General features: G+C 39.3%; 1 protein-coding gene across 11 annotated transcripts in view; it reads right to left on the reverse strand.

The window, feature by feature from the left end:
• The window catches only part of SLC33A1 (solute carrier family 33 member 1), a 33,404-nt gene continuing 22,665 nt past the window's right edge, over nt 8,611–19,349 (reverse strand). For 5 of the 11 annotated variants that reach the window (XM_047449195.1, XM_047449200.1, XM_047449194.1 and 2 more), the window contains 3 exons: nt 17,275–17,490; nt 15,769–15,964; nt 14,107–14,406 (listed from right to left, as the gene is read on the reverse strand). In XM_047449195.1, coding sequence (XP_047305151.1) covers nt 15,797–15,964; nt 17,275–17,490 — 384 coding nt within the window. In that variant the 3' untranslated portion in view covers nt 14,107–14,406; nt 15,769–15,796. Of the gene's footprint in view, nt 15,965–17,274; nt 17,491–19,349 lie in introns of those variants that run through there. The other 6 variants (XM_017007464.2, XM_011513311.4, NM_004733.4 and 3 more) reach the window with 3 other exon arrangements.

Here is a 19,349-nt window from a genome sequence, read left to right on the forward strand (position 1 = left end):
TATTATAACCTTAAGACTAGTTTTATCTAATAGCTGCCAAAACAACCTGAGACTAAGTAATTGCAGTTTTTGACATTACTTTCAATGGCAATTACTTTTACCTACCGCCCTCACTCACCCATCAGAGCTTGCCAGCTCCCAAAAGACTTCGCCAGCACCAGTTAACTCTTTCAAAACATTTTATGTTTCATTTCTCTTTCCCAATAAAACCTCAACATATTCCTTTTTTTTTTTTTTTGACATTCTGAAGACCATTCTGGTCTGTTCTTATGCCCCAAATTGCAATTCTATTTTTATCTATATTCCCGAATAAAACCTTTTGCTTAGAGATTCATTTCTATATTTTATGTTGACACTATAATTGGTCTAGTCATTGTCATCCCTATCAAGCAAAATTATCATGCCAGACCACCTAATGGGCTGCTAGCTGATCTATAAACTGGCTATCGTCTGTCAGGGGCTCACCCCTCCAGCACAATCAGCTTGGATCACTATGACAAGGCTAAGTGGCCAAGAACATGGCCACTTAATCTTTTTTTTTTTTTTAGACCGCGTTTCGCTCTTGTTGCCCAAGCTGGAATGCAATGGCGCGATCTCAGCTCACTGCAACCTCCGCCTCCTGGGTTCCAGCGATTCTCCTGCCTCAGCCTCCTGAGTAGCTAAGATTACAGGCACACCCCACCACGCCCGGCTAATTTTTTGTATTTTTAGTAGAAACAGGGTTTCACCATGTTAACCAGTTAGCCAGGTTGGTCTTGAACTCCTGACCTCAGATGATCCGCCTGCCTCGGCCTCCCAAAGTGCTGGGATTACAGGTATGAGCCACCACTCCAGGCCAATCTTAAGAAAAGATTAATCTTAATCTTAATCTTAAGAAAAGATTAATCTTAATCTTAATCTTAAGAAAAGATTAATCTTAATCTTAATCTTAAGAAAAGATTAATCTTAATCTTAATCTTAAGAAAAGATTAATCTTAATCTTAATCTTAAGAAAAGATTAATCTTAATCTTAAGAAAAGATTAATCTTAATCTTAAGAAGAGATTGATCTTAATCTTAATCTTAAGAAAAGAATGATCTTAATCTTAATCTTAAGAAAAGATTGATCTTAATCTTAAGAAAAGATTTATCTTAATCTTAATCTTAAGAAAAGATTGATCTTAATCTTAAGAAAAGATTAATCTTAATCTTAATCTTAAGAAAAAGTTAATCTTAAGAAAAAGTTAGAGTTGCTTTGCTCAGCCTGGGGCTCTCAGCACGTCATTTGTCCTCAGAAGTGAGTGTAACACATATATAGAAGATACAACCTCCTTTCCAAGGTCTTCTAGACAAAATTAATCAGTCTCCTTAGTTCTCTCATTGCCCTTTCTTTGCTCAGCAAATTATGAACCTCTAAAGGGCGAAGATATGTGAAGAAATTTATGTTCTTTGTACAACGTGCACTTTACAGAAAAGATAATCAATGTGTTGAATCAAAGTAAGATACAAAGATCTTCCCACCATGGCTTCACAGTGTGTTGAGATTATAGGTGTGAGCCACCATGCCCAGCCTCTATTTCTTTTTTTTTTTTTTTTCAGACGGAGTCTCGCTCTGTTGCCCAGGCTGGAGTGCAGTGGCGCGATCTCGGCTCACTGCAAGCTCCACCCCCTGTGGTTCACGCCATTCTCCTGCCTCAGCCTCCCAAGTAGCTGGGACTACAGGGGCCTGCCACCACGCCCGGCTAATTTTTTGTATTTTTAGTAGAGACGGGGTTTCAGCGTGTTAGCCAGGATGGTCTTGATCTCCTGACCTGGTGATCTGCCCGCCTTGGCCTCCCAAAGTGCTGGGATTACAGGCATGAGCCACAGCGCCCGGCCTCATTTTTCAGGTTTCAAGAGCATCAAATACAAAGAATGACTGGGAAATTCCAGATTAAGGAAAACTAAAGAAACATAAAAACTAAATATAATTTGTAATCCTAGATTAGATTCTATACTTAGCAAGAATCTAATTGGGTCTATCATCAAAATTTGAATGGGGTTTGTAAATTAAATGATAAAAATGTGTGAATACGAATTTCCTAAATCTGGGGGTTGTACTGTGGTTACATAGGAGAGTGTTCTTGTTTTTTGAAAATGCATGGAGTATTAAGGGATAATTAAGAGATTACAGGAGCTCCATTGGTGCAATGTATTCTGAATAATTGTGAAAAATAGTTCTGAAAAAATTATGTGTTTATATGTATGGCTAGATAGATAAAGACAAAAAGAGGATAAGGAATATGGGGTAAAATACAAAAATTAGGATATCCACATGTAGTCTTGATACTATTTTTGCCATTTTATTATGTTTCTAAATTTTTGTTTGTTTGTTTGGAGACAGGGTCTCGCTCTGTCGGTCAGGCTGGAGTGCAGTGGTGCCATCACAGCTCACTGTAGTCGACCTCCTGGGCTCAAGTGATCCTCCCGCCTCCATTTCTCCAGTAGCTGGGACTACAGGGGTGTGCCACCAAACCCGGCTAATTTTTTAATATTTTGTACAGACAATGTCCTGCCATGTTGCTCAGGCTGGTCTCAAATTCTTGGGCTCAAGGAATCTTCCCACATCAGCCTCCCAAAATGCTGGCATTATAGGCGTGAGCCATAGCACCTGGCCTCCACATAGTTTTAATGGAAAACAATATGGAAAGGGAAGGTGGTTGGAGATATACTTATTATTGAAGCTGAGTAATGGGTTATATAACATAGATTTTAAGTCAGGGCTGGCCTTTGCTCTTTCTTTGCCCCTGGTAATCTCTAAACCCTCAGCATATCCTGCCTGATAAGAATGTCCTTTATCTTGAGAATTTGGATCACACAAACTCATTTACAGTGGAGGCTTTGAGTCTTGGGATATCAGTTTGACCTCCAGAGGAGCTAGAGACTGAGTTCAGCTATGTAGTCAGTCAAGCATGATGTCTGAATAAAAACTGTGGACACCAAAGCTTGGGGGAGCTTTCCTGGTTGGCACTGCTCCATGTGTCTTGTCACACATCATTGCTGTGAGGGGTCAATGTTGTCCATGACTCTACAGGGAGAGGACAACTGGAATCTCCACCTTTAGAACCCTTCTGGCCTCTGCCCTATGCATAGATCAAGTCTCCAAATCAGTGCTAGATCCTTTGCAGATTTTAATCTGTATCCTTTCCCTGTAACCCACCATTACCATGAGTATAACAGCTTTAAATGAGTTCTGAGTCGTTTTAACAAATTATCACACCTGAGGGTGGTCTTAGGCTCCCCTGAACTCTGCAGTTTGTGTCAGAAGTATTGGCGGTCTTGCGGACTGTTCTATTTAACTCTTCATGGGCCCATTGTTACCCTACTTTTATATGTTCAAATTTTTCCATAATAAAGTGTTAACAGGCTGGGCACAGTGGCTCACGCCTGTAATCCCAGCACTTTGGGAGGCCGAGGCAGGCAGATCACCTTAGGTCAGGAGTTCAAAACCAGCCTGGCCAACATGGTGAAACCCCCGCCTTCACTAAAAATACAAAAATTAGCTGGGTGTGCTGGCAAGTGCCTGTAATCCTTGCTACTCAGCAGGCTGAGGCAGGAGAATCGCTTGAACCTGGGAGGCGGAGGTTGCAGTGAGCCAAGATCACGCCATTGCACTCCAGCCTGGGCAACAAGAGTGAAACTCCGTCTCAGAAAAAAAAAAAAAAAAAAAAAAAAAAAAAAAAAAAAGTTGGGCCGGGCGCGGTGGCTCACGCCTGTAATCCCAGCACTTTGGGAGGCCGAGGCGGGCGGATCACGAGGTCAGGAGATCAAGACCGTCCTGGCTAACACGGTGAAACCCCGTCTCTACTAAAAATACAAAAAAATTAGCTGGGCGAGGTGGCGGGCGCCTCTAGTCCCAGCTACTCGGGAGGCTGAGGCAGGAGAATGGCGTGAACCCCAGGGGGCAGAGCCTGCAGTGAGCCGAGATCATGCCACTGCGCTCCAGCCTGGGCGACAGCGAGACTCCGTCTCAAAAAAAAAAAGTTAACAAATAATTTTTTAAAAATATTCCTTATCCTACAGAAGTCAATTCAAAACACAATATTGTAGCTCAGTTGTATTCTTACTGATATGAATGAGATTGGTGTATTAGACTCACCTGTGAAGTTTAATTTTGTTCTCCAAAATTACACGTCCAAATAATGTGCATATGTCCGTGGATGCACACATGCATATACGTGTGTTAAGGGCATCAAATACAAAGGACGACTTGGAAACTGTTCCAGAGAGAAGTTATCTGAAGTAACTCTTATAACCTAATATGTTTTCTTGAGTGGTAAACAGACAGTGAAACAGCTAGTCCTTCAGGGATTACAAATAATTAGGCATGCTTTCAGGAGTGAATGTCTTATCTTGTCTCATCACCACAGAAATACCTTTGAGATCAATTGTTCTAGAATCTCTTGCTCCCATACTCCTGGCCTCAAGTGATCCACCCACCTTGGCTTCCCAAAGTGCTGGGATTATAGGCATGAGCCATCTCGCCCAGCCCCCTTGTGCTATATCTAGAGGGCCAAGTACAATGGCTAAATCTTTCGAACACTAAGACTTCCCTCTTAGAAATTCTTTTTTTTTTTTTTTTGATATGGAGTTTCACGGTTGTTGCCCAGGCTAGAGTGCAATGGCGCGATCCCGACTCACTGCAATCTCCGCCTCCTGGGTTCAAGCGATTCTCCTGCCTCAGCTTCCTGAGTAGCTGGGATTACAGGCATGCACCAACATGTCCGGCTAATTTTTTTGTATTTTTAGTAGAGATGGGGTTTCTCCATGTAGGTCAGGCTGATCTCGAACTTCTGACGACCTCAGGTGATCTGCCCACCTGGCCTCCCGAAGTGCTGGGATTACAGGCGTGAGCCACCACACCCAGCACCCTCTTGAAAATTCTAAGAATTGCTGGAAAAGTCAGAAAACTAGGCTGACTAGTTCACCTACAGATCTCCAGATTATACTACCTAAACTCTAAACTCAGGCTTGATTCATTTCCAGTTGATTCCTTCCCACTTATCCGTATCTCAAACCTCTTCTGTCCTTTCAGTTGAATCTTATCCTTCATTTTCTTTCTGACCTTATACTTACTTATATCAAAATACCTACCCAATTTTTTTTTTTTTTTTTTAGATGAAGTCTTGCTGTGTCGCCAGGCTGGAGTACAGTGGCACAATCTCGGCTCACAGCAACCTCTGCCTCCTGGATTCAAGCAATTCTGCTTCAGCCTCCTGCGTAGCTGGGATTACAGGTGCACACCACCACACCCAGCTAATTTTTTGTATTTTTAAACAAGGTTTTGTCATGTTGGCCAGGCTGGTCTCAAACTCCTAACCTCAGGTGATCCACCTGCCTCGGCCGCCCAAAGTGCTGGGATTACAAGTGTGAGCCACTGTGCCCCTCCCCTACCCCAAATTAATTTCAACCTCTTTCCCCTCTCCATCAACATTTTCTTACACGTCCTCGCATGTTCTCCCCATCTCCAGGTTCAGAGGATATGTCTCATTTGGTTAAAATTCTTATCCTAGACAAGCAATTATATTCAATAAAAGGCTACTTTCAAAAGTATTTCAGCTGGGCGCAGTGTAATCCTAGCACTTTGGGAGCTGAGACGGGTGGATCACTTGAGGTCAGGAGTTAGAGACAAGTCTGGCCAACATGGTGAAACCCTGTCTCTAGTAAAAATACAAAAATTAGCCAAAAATCTCTTGAACCCGGGAGGCAGAGGTTGCAGCAAGCCGAGATTATGCCACTGCACTCCAGAATGGGCAACAGAGCGAGACTCTATCACAAAAAAAAAAAAAAAAAAAAAAAAAGTATTTCAAGCATAGGATGCGCCATGAACCAAGGGATATAAACAGGAAACTGGAGTATTAGTCCAAGAATTAGAGCTCCAACTATCCCATAAGGAACTGTCATTATTTGAGAATTTTAATTGCACAAATGGTTCAGAATAGAATAATGTTGAGCTATGAGGTGTAATGAGTGAGACGGTTATGGGAGCACAGCATTAGTGATTTAGTGGTATAAGTGTGAACCTTAGTTGGAATCTGATTCTGTTAAGCAGTCTGACCTTGAACAAATCACATACTTTCTCCACCTTACCTCCAATTTCATTTTATTAGAAATTGGCAGTGGAAGAAGTCATCATTAAAAATCAATGCTTATAAACCGAAAAATTTACAAGCATTTGTAAAATGCAAAATTTACAAGCTTTTGCATACTTTGGCAATATATAGATGATGACCCATGGACCAATTTCTCAGTGCAAGGCAGTATTTGATCAGCAATTATAAAAAATTGAGTTAGAACTAGAAATAAATGAATTTAAGAAGTAAAAATCTGACTTTTTCTTTTATCTTAAGTTAATAACTTAATAAAAATGTTCAAAAAACTGTAAAAGTGTTAATTTGAAATAGTTTCATTTCATTAAAAAAAAAAAACCACCACCAACCCAGAGTGTTTCTTTCTGCTTTTGTAATAATTTACATTTCCTGACTTGCAGGGTGTGATTTCTTCCAATTTTTGCATTAACTCACAGATTGCTACTAAAATAAAATTTTCTCTACTCATAGAAGTGGACTTTTTAAAAATTATCACCTTAACTTGAATTATTTGGATAATTTGCCCCATTTAGACTAGGAGAAAGCATCCAAGTTTTTAATATCACAGGCCTCTTGACCATAATGTAATGAAAAAGTGAGTTAACTAGAATACAACTCCAATAAACATCAGATAAAATGTCTATATTTGTATTGTGCTGAAAGTAGACACAAAGGCTCTGGAGCAGGAACAGACTTAATTATTACTTAAATTCTCTTTGGGAAGGATCTTACCCTTTGGAATATAAGTGTATATCTCTAAAGAGAAGACTAGTGTCTCCATAATTACAGCAACCAGAGATGTCTTCACGGTCCCAGGTCTCATCGCCCCTTGAAATGAGCGTACTGGAGAAATAAATATCTCTGTGTAATGGAATGAACTGTGCTCCTCAAAATTTATATGTTAAAGCCCTAAACACCCAATTACTGTATTTGGAATTAGGATCTTTCAGGGGATAATCAAGGCTAAGTGAGCTCATAAGGGTAGGCCCCTAAGCCCACAGGACTGGAGGAAATATCAAAGATGAATGCACACAGTGGAAGGGTTATGTGAGGACACAGCGAGAAAGTGGCTGTTTCCAAATGAAGAAGAGAGGCTTCAGGCTGGGTGCAGTGGCTCATGCCTGTAATCCTAGCACTTTGGGAGGCCAAGACAGGAGGATCATTTGAAGTCAGGAGTTCAAGCCCAGCCTGGCCAACATGGTGAAACTCTGTCTCTACTAAAAATACAAAATTAGCTGGGTGTGGTGGCCGGCACCTATAATCCCAGCTACTTGGGAGGCTGAGGAAGGAGAATTGCTTGAACTTGGGAGGCAGAGGTTACAGTGAGCCGAGATCAAGCCATTGCACTCCAGCTTGGGCAACAGAGTGAGACTGTGTCTCAAAAAAAAAAAAAAAAAAAGAAATTCTTCAAAATTGTTAACAGCAAAGAAGCCCATACCCAAACACAACTGCTTTAAAACTAACAGATTTTGTAATAAAAGTTCCCAGTAAAATTCCTTTTTTTTTTTTTTTTGAGATGGAGTTTCACTTTTGATGCCCAGGCTGGAGTGCAGCGGCGTAATCTCAGCTCACTGCAACCTCCACCTCCCAGATTCAAACGATTCTCCTGCCTCAGCCTCCCAAGTAGCAGGGATTACAGGTGCCTGCCAAAACTCCTAGCTAATTTTTATATTTTTAGTAGAGACAGGGTTTCACCATGTTGACTAGGCTCATCTCAAACTCCTGACCTCAGGTGATCCACCCGCGTTGACCTCCCACAGTACTGGGATTACAGGTGTGAGCCACTGCACCTGGCCGAAATTCTTAATAATTCCAAATAAAGAAACAGCGCCATGCTTCTACCTGCTCTCCTCTTTGTCCAGACATTTTTTTTTTTTTTTTTTTGAGAAGAGGTTTCACCATGTTGGTCAGGTTGGTCTCAAACTCCTGACCTCGTGATCCACCCACCTTGGCCTCCCAAAGTGCTGGGATTACAGGCATGAGCCACCTCGCCTGGCCCTTTATCTTTTATTAATAGTCTGGGTGGTGGCTCATGCCTGTAATCCCCTGAACTTTGGGAGGCTGAGGCAGGTGGATCACCTGAAGTCAGGAGTTGGAGACCAGCCTGGCCAACATGATGAAACCCCATCTCTACTAAAAGTACAAAAAATTAGCTGGGCGTGGTGGCGCGCACCTGCAATCCCAGCTACTCCGGAGGCTGGGGCAGGAGAATCACTTGAACACGGGAGCCGGAGGTTGCAGTGAGCCGAGATCGTGCCATTGCACTCCAGCCTGAGTGACAGAGTGACTGTCTCAAAAAAAAAAGAAAAAAAAAAAGAAAAAAAATTAACTAAAAAAATAATTGAGGATGGCTTCATAAATAAAGAAAACAAAAGATTTGTTAGTAAGTGTAAGTTACTTGAAATTACTGCAGTTGGTTCTAATTGTGCCAATCTACTGTAATTTTAACAAGACTAATTTGAAAGTAAATTTAGCTACTACTTAATAAAAATGAAAACAAGATATTTCATTAATGTTTTATTTTTTAGAGAATCACTTTAAGCAATTAAATAACCATTTATCTAAAACACTGGATAATTTATTTCAAATATATTCCAAATACTTAAACACTGCATAAATATTAAGGTTTAACACACATCTTTTAATAAATTAACCAAATATAACTAACAGTTCAGATATACTCAAAACACACCACACAAAACTATCAAGGCTAATGCTAGATATTCCAAAAGTGGTAACAGAAATGATTGTGTGCTGTGTATCTCTAATTCAAACTTGGACATGGGCACAATAATTTCATAAAGATCTCAACAATGACAGCTTTCAACATTGAGTATTTTTTCCAATTTTACACTAATTCTTGCAAAGGCAACATCTGGGGACAACAATAGATATAGACTCACCAATATAATTTGACAGTGGTAATTTATCAATTTACCAAATATGCCACTTCCTTTTTTTTTTTGAGACAGAGTTTCGCTCTTGCACCCAGGCTGGAGTGCGATGGTGCGATCTCGGCTCACCGCAACCCCTGCCTCCCGGGTTCAAGCGATTCTCCTGCCTCAGCCTCCCGAGTAGATGGGATTACAGACCTGGGCCACCACACCCGGCTAATTTTGTATTTTTAGTAGAGATGGGGTTTCTCCATGTGGGTCAGGCCGGTCTTCAACTCCTGACCTCAAGTGATCTGCCTGCCTTGGCCTCCCAAAGTGCTGGGATTACAGACGTGAGCCACTGGACCCGGCCGCATTTTTTTTTTTTTTTTTTAATTGAGACTGAGTCTCACTCTATTGCCCAGGCTGGAGAATAGTAGCACAATCTCGGCTCACTGCAACATCCCTCTCTCAGGTTCAACCGATTCTCCTGCCTCAGCCTCCCAAGTAGCTGGGATTACAGGTGCCCACCACCATGCCCGGCTAATTTCTGTATTTGCAGTAGAGACAGGGTTTCACCATGTTGGCCAGGCTGGTCTCAAACTCCTGACCTCAAGTGATTCTCCTGCCTAAGCCTCCCAAACTAATGGGACTACAGGTGTAAGCCAACACACCTGGTTCAAATATGCCACTTTCTTAAATATCAAATTTTTTTCCAATCTTATATTTCTCTAATTTTATAGGGGCAGGTGATAAAAAAATTTCAATTTCACTAACTCTGACTACAAAATTAAACTTTTCCAACATTTAAGATCATTTCAAGGAAAATAAGAATAGGCTTTAATATTTACATTAGTGATTGATTAATTGTAGCTGACTGGGGTATTCAATTTTAGAAATTTAAGATAATTCCCGCCAGGTGCAGTGGCTCACACCTGCAATCCCAGCACTTTGGGAGGCCGAGGCAGGCAGATCACGAGGTCAGGAGTTTGAGACCAGCCTGACCAACATGGTGAAACCCCGTCTATACTATACAAAAAAATTAGCCAGGTGTGGTGGAAGGCACCTGTAATCCCAGCTAATGGAGAGGCTGAGGAAGGAGAATCACTTGAACCCAGCAGGCAGAGGGTGCAGGGAGTCATGCCACTGCACTCCAGCCTGGGCGACAGAGCAAGACTCCATCTCAAAAAAAAAAAAAAAAAGAAATTTAAGATAACTCCCTAAGGATTGTACCTGTACCTTGTGCATTTCAGTCATGCCATTTAATCATTATTCTTCACATAAAATTGTTATAAAGTTATATTGTCTATATTGACAATAAAAAACTATTAAACTGTAGCAACCTTTTTCTAAATGAGTCAAGACTTCTTATGAGCTATGCAAATTAATATTGCTGATATTTAAATATGATCTCTTTCATTACACATTTGGGCAAAATTTTTTTAGAGTAAAGGTGATTAGTCATAGAACTTTCTTTCTTTTTCTTTCCTTTTTAATTAAAAATAGAGATGCAGTCTCCCTGGTCTCGATCTCCTGAGCTCAAGCAATACTCCTACCTTGGCATCCCAAAGTGTTGGGATTAAAGGTATGAGCCACTACACCCAGCCCATAGACTTTTCATTTACTATATAAAGTCTTTTTCTCCTACAAAATATCCATTCTCCTTCCCCAAAATAAACAAGGCTCCTTAAAGGCAATCTTTATAATCCATAGTCAAATAAAAGTTTTTATTCACTTAAGCAGGAGGGAATGAGTTCAGCACATTAATTAGTCTGCCCTGCTATAAGACCTGCCTCTTCCAAAACAGAATTCCAATAAGGAAAATAAGCTATCCATGCTGATTCTACCTTGCTAGCAAATTGGGGAAGTAACATGAAGACTCTAATAGTGGTTTGACTGGTAGAAAATGAAAGAGCTCTCAGTCCCAAACCAAATGGTGATTACATAAAAAATTTGGCATTGTCAAATCAGGCAGATACAATCTAAAGTAAAAAGAGCCAGCAGCGGTGGCTCACGCCTGTAATCCCAGCACTTTAGGAGGCCAAGGCGGGAAGATCACCTAAGGTCAGGAGTTTGAGATCAGCCTGGCCAACATGGCAAAACCCCATCTCGACCAAAAATACAAAAATAAGCTGGGCGTAGTAGTGCACATCTGTAGTCCCAGCTACTTGGAAGGCTGAGGCAGGAGAATCGCTTGAACCCGGGAGGCGGAGGTTGCAGTGAGCAGCTTGGGCAACAGAGCCAGACTCCATCTCAAAAAAATAATAAAATAAAATAAAGTAAAAAGAACATGGTCTGCAGTAGGTGTTTTTGTTTTGTTTTTGTTTGTTTGTTTTTGAAACGGAGTCTCGCTCTGTCGCCCAGGCTGAAGTGTAGTGGCGCAATCTCAACTCACTGCAAGCTCCGCCTCCCGGGCTCAAGCAATTCTCCTGCCTCAGCCTCCCTAGTAGCTGGGATTACAGTCGTGTGCCACCCTATGCCTGGCTAATTTTTGTATTTTTAGTAGAGACGGCGTTTCACCATGTTGGCCAGGCTGGTCTCAAACTCCTGACCTCAAGTGATCCACCCACCTCGGCCTCCCAAAGGGTTGGGATTACAGGCGTGAGCCACCATGCCCAGCCTGCAATAGGTATTCAAAATCCTCCCTAAGAGAAAATAATTGTGCCTCGCTATCTACCAAAGACATTGGTTAAAAAAAAGTCTCAGCAGTTACAATGTACAGTATCACCTTCCCTTCTGTAACCAAAATACTTATTAAATATATGAATGCTAGTTATCAGATTATTTTAAAAGTTTATTTTCTTTCTCTAATAATAAGGTAAAATACATTTTGGAAATCTGCATGGAATGTTCCCAACAAGTTATTTCATTTTAGCAGGGTCTATGACATACAGCTTTAGTCATTCTTTCAATTACTTGGAACCACAGAATTCTCCAAAATACAAAAATTAAATTTTCAGCTTTTATATCAAATAATGGTCTCAACCATTTAATACAAAGCAACATACTTTCTCAGGTTTCTGTTAATAAGGCAAAATAAAAGTCACTCAGAAAAAAAAGGTTAAATCATGAAGATTTCTCTTTTGTAGGATATAATTCACCCCTGTGGTTTCTCTTCTACCATTAATGTCTTATCTACTCTAATTCCTTCAAAGTTTCAAGTTCAATACAGTATAACATATGCAGAGATTTTATAGTTTTTATCATAGATTTTTTTTTTCAACATTGTTTTCAGGATGTTTTAAACACTTTCACAACTATTACCTCAGATTTGTGATTATGGCTTATAGTACGGTCTACTTTCAAAACCATGATTTTTGGATCATGGCCCATCCAAGATTTTACTCTGTTCAGAAAAAGAAAAAAAATTACATATCCAGAGTTTCACAAGCAATTCAGGGGTTTTTCCCACAGACATCAAAAACCTTGCAATAAAGGGGTGAAATCCAAAAATTACTTTCGATTTCAAAGGTTTAATATTTTTAAAAAATTGAGAAATCTATTTAAGGTGTTGAATAAACTTTTTATGACTTATCAGGCAAAATTAAAATATTTATCATGGGCAGGGCACGGTGGCTTACACCTGTAATCCCAGCATTTTGAGAGGTCAAGGCTGGACGACTGCTTGAAGCTATGAGATTGGGACTAGCCTGGAAAATATAGCGGACCCCACCTCTATAAAAAATTATTATTTTTTATTAGCTGGGCATAGTGCTGTGTGCCTGTAGTCCTAGCTACCAGAGAGGCTGAGGTGGAAAGATCCTTTTTTGTTGTTGAGACAGGGTCTCACTCTGTCACCCAGACAGGAATGTAGTACCACAATCACTGCTTACTGAAGCCTTGACCTCCTGGGTTCAAGTAACCCTCCCGCCTAAGCTTCCCAAGTAGCTGGGACTACTGGTGTGTACCACCATGCCTGGATAATTAAAAAAAAAAAAGAAGTCATAAAGACAGGTTCTTATTATATTGACCAGGTTGGTCTTGAACTCTTGACCTCAAGTGATCCTCCTGCCTTGGCCTCCTAAAGTGTTGTGATTACAGGTGTGAGCCACAGCATCCAGCCTAAGGAAGATCCCTTGAGCCTAGGAATTTGAGGCTGCAGTGAGCTATGATTGCATCACTGTACTCCAGCTTGGGCAAAAGTGAGACCATGTCTCTAAAAAATAATAATAAAATAAAATAAAGTATTTACAATGGAAGGAATCTGTGGTGTTACTTTTAGGTAATCTCAGAAGAACTTTTCAAACTCAGATGTATATATGCGGCAACCAATGTGCATATGGAGATACTGACATAGAGAGAAAAATGTTCAATCTAATATTAGCCAGTAAACATATGATGCATTAACTGGAGGAGTTAAAAGTCCATACTTGAAGGTACTGTTTAATTTATCAGGATCAATCAATCAAGAAAAACACCCACAACATAAAAACAGGGTGGTATATTTTAGTACTACTGATTTATAATAAACAGATCCTCAGATTTAGGCAGATCATTTTTAAATGCCATTAGTGATCAATGTATGCAACACAGTTGCACATAGCTATTAACAAGTTATTTTGACATGCATTACATACATGTATTCAAATTAACTATAATTTTTTGTGCTTATTTCTAGAGCAAATTAATTAAATGGCTTTCACCTTAAAGGCTTAAAATGTTTTAAAACTTCAAGTCATTAAAGATGTACTGACATTAAAACTATGTTTGAAGGCTGGGCGCAGTGGCTCATGCCTGTAATCCCAGCACTTTGGGAGGCCGAGGCGGGTGGATCACTTGAGGTCAGGAGTTCAAGACCAGCCTGGCCAACATGGTGAAACCCCATCTCTACTAAAAATACAAAAATTAGCCGGGTGTGGTGGTGTGCGCCTGTAGTCCCAGCTACTCAGAGGACTGGGGCAGGAGAATCACTTGAACCCAGGAGGCAGAGGTTGCAGTGAGCCGAGATTGCACCACTGTACTCCAGCCTGGGTGACAAAGTGAGACTCTGTCTCAATTAAAAAAAAAAAAAACTATGTTTGAAAGTATATATAATTTGTAATAATATACACGGGAAGAAATAAAAGGTTATTATGGCAATCTGAGTTTCTTAATCCAAAAATTAAAAATCAAAACACATTTCATATGTAAGAGTTAAGTGGTTTTTTTTCTTTATTCAAGTAATCATTTAGACTCTAATACATGATAATGGACAACCATGTGACAAAGTACTGTAGTGTATGGTTTGGTGTAGCCTCCTTGCCTCTAGGATGGGATTTTTTCCAGGTGATTCTTCAGGATCTGACATCGATGCCCAACACAGGCTTTCCAATGGCAATGCATGAGTTCTAGAGGTCACTGCCCCATCTTTCTTCAGGTGCTGTGTGCCATTTTCTCCCACCCATTTTATCCTCCATTACTTATAAAAACCCCACTCTAAAATTCAACCTATGTTATAAAATTAACAAAATCAGGAGTTAGTACACATTTTTCCACAATGATAAAATTAAGACTCATAATGTACTATCTTGTTTCGTCTAACTTTTGGAGGATTTATATAATCTCTAAAGAGTCAGAGTAATACATAACACAAAACATGCAAAGAACCTTATCACTGGGTGTATGTAATACGCTGGGAATTGCTAAAGTACTCAAAAGCTTAATTTTCTTGGAATAGCAACTGTCCACTGAAAACTATAGTATTCAAACAAAAGGTTATGTGTTAATACATGAAAATACAGTACCTGATTTGGCATAAATTGTGAGATCTTTTTCACTAGTAAAGTGCTTAATTAAGAAACATTTTTCCACTATTAGATTTAATTTGTCAAAGGCACAAAATATCTTTGTCTCTCTCTTTAAAGTATTAGTTTTTTAAATTATGGTACTGCCCATTTAAATTTTACTTAATCAGAAAGCTTTACTGTTTTTTTCTCTCAGCAATTAAAAAAAAACTACTTGAAGAAAAACATTTAATTTTTATTTTCAAAATGTTGCCATAAACATACATACAACACTGAATTTGATCCCCTCCATTGGCTGTCTGTGTGCCAGGAAGCACTTGTGACAGAAAACATATATAAGCTTAGGGTAAAAGTTTATAAGGAATCAAAATATCTTCCAAAAAGAGGGGGTAGGGGCAAGAGGAATCAATAAGTTTAAAAATCATAACTTTCATTTTATAAAAAATAGTTTGAATAATTTTCTTATAAATCTTTAATGCTTACAAAAGCAGGAAATACATTTAAAATAGTCTTTTTAACACAGATTCATTTGTACAATGTGGTCATAAGAAAAATAACTAAAATGACATTTCAGTAGTCTATATTCTTTTCTCAGCAAATTCCACATAAAATTTAACTAATTTACAATTCAAAATAAGATTTTAACTGCCAACAATGTCAGACTAGTTGTGGTTAGTACCTGAATATCAAGCTCTTCTCCATTTTATATATTGTACCAAAATTTTAAATACAGCTCAGCAGTGATAGGTACTAATAACAATACCTGACTACATGGTTACCACCCGTGACTACTGCATTGCAGCTTAAAACATGCTTTGGTCAGTAAATTTAAAAGATATACATCAAATAACAAGGCCAGAAAAGTTGTTTTAGAATTTCCTGACCTTAAGTAAACTTTAAATACATTGACAAGGCAAAAAAAAAATATGATCAAATATACAGAAAGGTTTCTATTTTTTCAACCATTTGGCATTTTATATTATTAATTTCGCTGTTTAAAATAATATTTTATACTCCTGTGCACTGATTATCATTGCTCTCCGAATTAAAACTAAACTACAATTACCTTGCTAGAATGTCCAGTAGCATATATATTAATTGTTCCTTTTGCATTTCCACGAAGATGATCCTTCATCCTGTAACTTTTTAAATTTTGGACCAAGAAAGAACCACCAACCAAATCCAATGAAAACACAAATAATGGACTCCACATAATAACCATCCAGGGCTGTAACACATGAGCCACCCAGTTTTTTGCAAAGCTGTAAAAATAAAACTATAATAAATACTCCACAATTTCAAAATGAAAGTATTTAGCAATTAACATGCTTCTACTTTATAAAGAATAAAAATATATTTTTCTTAAAACATTTCAGTATTTCACTGAATTCCAATGACAAAATATGTTAATGTATCTTAATCTCTCTAATGCTACTAACAGGATTAAAAACAATTTTCAGTTCTTGCTGTAAACAATACTCATTTTCTTTTTTGAGACACGGTCTCACTTGTGGCCCCGGCTGAAATGCAGTGGTGTGATAATGGCTCACTGCGGTCTCTGGCTCCTGGGCTCAAGCAATCCTCCCACCTCAGCCTTGTGAGTAGATAAGACCACAGGCGTGCACCACCATGCCCCATTAATTTCTACATTTTTTGTAGAGATGGTGCTTCACCATGTGGCCCAGGGTGGTCTTGAACTCCTGGGCTCAAGCAATCTGCCTGCTTCAGCCTCTCAAAATGCTGGAATTACGGGTGTGAGCCACCATACCCAGCCGAATATGTTTTTTTTTTTTTTTTTTTTTTAAGAGACGGAGTCTTGTTCTGTCGCCCAGGCTGGAGTACAGGGGCGCGATCTCAGCTCACTGCAACCTCCGCCTCCCAGTTCTAGCAATTCTCCTGTCTCAGCCTCCTGAGTAGTTGGGACTACAGGCACACACCACCCCGCCCGGCTAATTTTTTGTATTTTAGTAGAGATGGGGTTTCACCGTGTTGCCCAGGCTGGTGTCAAACTCCTGAGCTCAGGCAATCCACCCGCCTTAGCCTCCCAAAGTGCTAAGAATACAGGCGTGAGCCACTGCACCTGGCCCGATTATCTATTTTCACGATGCAGCTTTCACATTCGGAAATGTGAAGAAATTTCCAGTCCATCTACTCTAGAAGTAGACAAATACCACTTTGAAAGAATTTATCAACAAACCACTCACTATACAGGTTTAGTTATCACTGTTATAGGAATAGCCAATGGACATTCCCTTTTTCTATCACTACAAAACTTAAGCTATTAATTATGCATTTATATAGTGCCTGCTGTGTAGGACAGTGATCGTCAAGGTGGGGGAAAGAGAGATCGCCTCTCCTTTACTGAGAAACGCCTTTAAGGGAACTAGTCTTGCTGATTTGAATGATTATAACCCTCAGCCTTGATGTGAAAGAAAATATATATGTAGATTTCTAAACCAGAACCTATGGACAGATATGATTTTTAAAAAAGATATAGTACTTCTAGAGACAAAACAAAGATATTAATATCTTAGTATTAGCTTAATGTTATCTAAAATTAAAACATACTTACCTCAACAGCATCAGGTGTTCGACAATTCTGGTTTGATGCTCCTACACACTCTTTTACTGTGAGGGGATCTACAAGCCAAAGAGCTACTGTAGAAGGCCAGTTTCCTCCCAGATTGGACACGGTATTTAAAAGGGTCATGTATGTTCCTCCAATAAGTGGATCACTAACCTTTGCATTGAAAGCCATTATAGAAACATACATGCTGTACACTGTAACCTACGGAAAAATGTAAAACATCTTTAGTATGATTATAAAGCTTATAAAGCTACAGTCTAAATTAAGAACATCAAAGTCATAAACCTGAAATTAATTTTCATGGTATTTATTGAACTCAATTCAACAAATACTTATCAAGCACCTACTATAGGCCAGGCTTTAAGATCACAGCAATACAGGCCGGGCGCGGTGGCTCATGCCTGTAATTCCAGCACTTTGGGAGGCCAAGGCGGGCGGATCACAAGGTCAGGAGATCGAGACCATCCTGGCTAACACGGTGAAACCCTGTCTCTACTGAAAAATACAAAAAAAAAAAAAAAATAGCCGGATGTGGTGGCAGGCGCCTGTAGTCCCAGCTACTTGGGAGGCTGAGGCAGGAGAATGGCGTGAACCCGGGAGGCGGAGCTTGCAGTGAGCTGAGATCGCACCACTGCACTCCAGCCTGGGCGACAGAGGGAGACTCAGTCTCAAAAAAAATAAATAAATAAAAATAAATAAATAAAAAAAAAGATCCCAGCAATACAAAGATGTGACCTTGGTCCTTCTGTGACATTGAAGAATTTATTCTAGGCTGGAAAATGGGGAATAAATAATTATAAATACAGGAAGTACTGTAAATAGAAGTGCACACATTGTGTTACTGGGGCATAAAGATAAATGAGAGATTAATTCTACCACAAGTAGTCAAGAAAGACTCCACGGAGAAAATGTTAGATGAGGTGGCACTAAAGGATACATAATGCATACAGCAAAATGCAAAACCTCATATTTGTACTGTACCTAAATATGTATCATATATTGCATGTGTATATATACATATTTATATGTATGCATTTATTACATATATAAATACTCAAATATTTAAAGAAATAGGAATATATATATTTTTCTCCTACATATACACAAGAAAAGTATTTCAAAATTTATGTGACAAACTGGAGAAAAACATCCTTAAGAGGCAAAAAGTACTTAAAAGGCAAGAATTAACCTTTAATTTAGAAAGATGGAAACAAACTGTGTTTCAATAATGGTATTCCTTTGAATAGTGTTTTTGGGGGTGTTCACAGAAAAAGGAGTTCCAAAGTCAAATAAGACTGAAAGACACTAACTTACACAAAATTGAAAAGGTTCCTTTCATTGTATGCCTTTTGAAATATTTACAACATACACTCCTTGAGGGCAGGGATTTGGGCATGATTTATTAAGTTATATTTCAGTACTCAGAATGGTTTCTGGCAGGGAATAGGTGTTCACTTAATATTTGTTGAAGAAGCTGGGTGCGGTGGCTCACACCTATAATCCCAGCACTTTGGAAGGCCGAGGTGGGCGGATCACCTGAGGTCAGGAGTTCAAGACCAGCCTGGCCAATGTGGTAAAACCCGTCTCTACTAAAAATACAAAAATCAGCTGGGTGAGGTGGTGCTCATCTGTAATCCCAGCTACTTGGGAGGCAGAAGCAGGAGAATCACTTGAACCCGGGAGGTGGAGGTATCACAGTGAGCCGAGATTGTGCCACTGCACTCCAGCCTGGGCAACAGAGTGAGACTCTGTCTCAAAAAAAAAAAAAAAAAAAAAAAAAAAAAAAAAATTTGTTGAAGGAATCATTAAGGCACTACTTACAGAAGGCTTATGTCATACATCATTTCTCGAATTTATTTGGTCTTGTACCTTTTTTCCCCCATAAAGCATCTGGTTATCTGAGTTTCAGTGATTACACTTCAGGAAATTCTCAAATGAAATCCAAAGCTAAATAAATACTTTTTTTGGGCTATAACATACCGACAGAAATACTGAAGCATTGACTAGTTAAAGTATTTCTTTAACCTTCTATTACATATCTAGCCTTAACTAAGCATGTG

Source organism: Homo sapiens, chromosome 3 (assembly GCF_000001405.40).
Source record: "Homo sapiens chromosome 3, GRCh38.p14 Primary Assembly".
NCBI classification, from domain to species: Eukaryota; Metazoa; Chordata; class Mammalia; order Primates; family Hominidae; genus Homo; species Homo sapiens.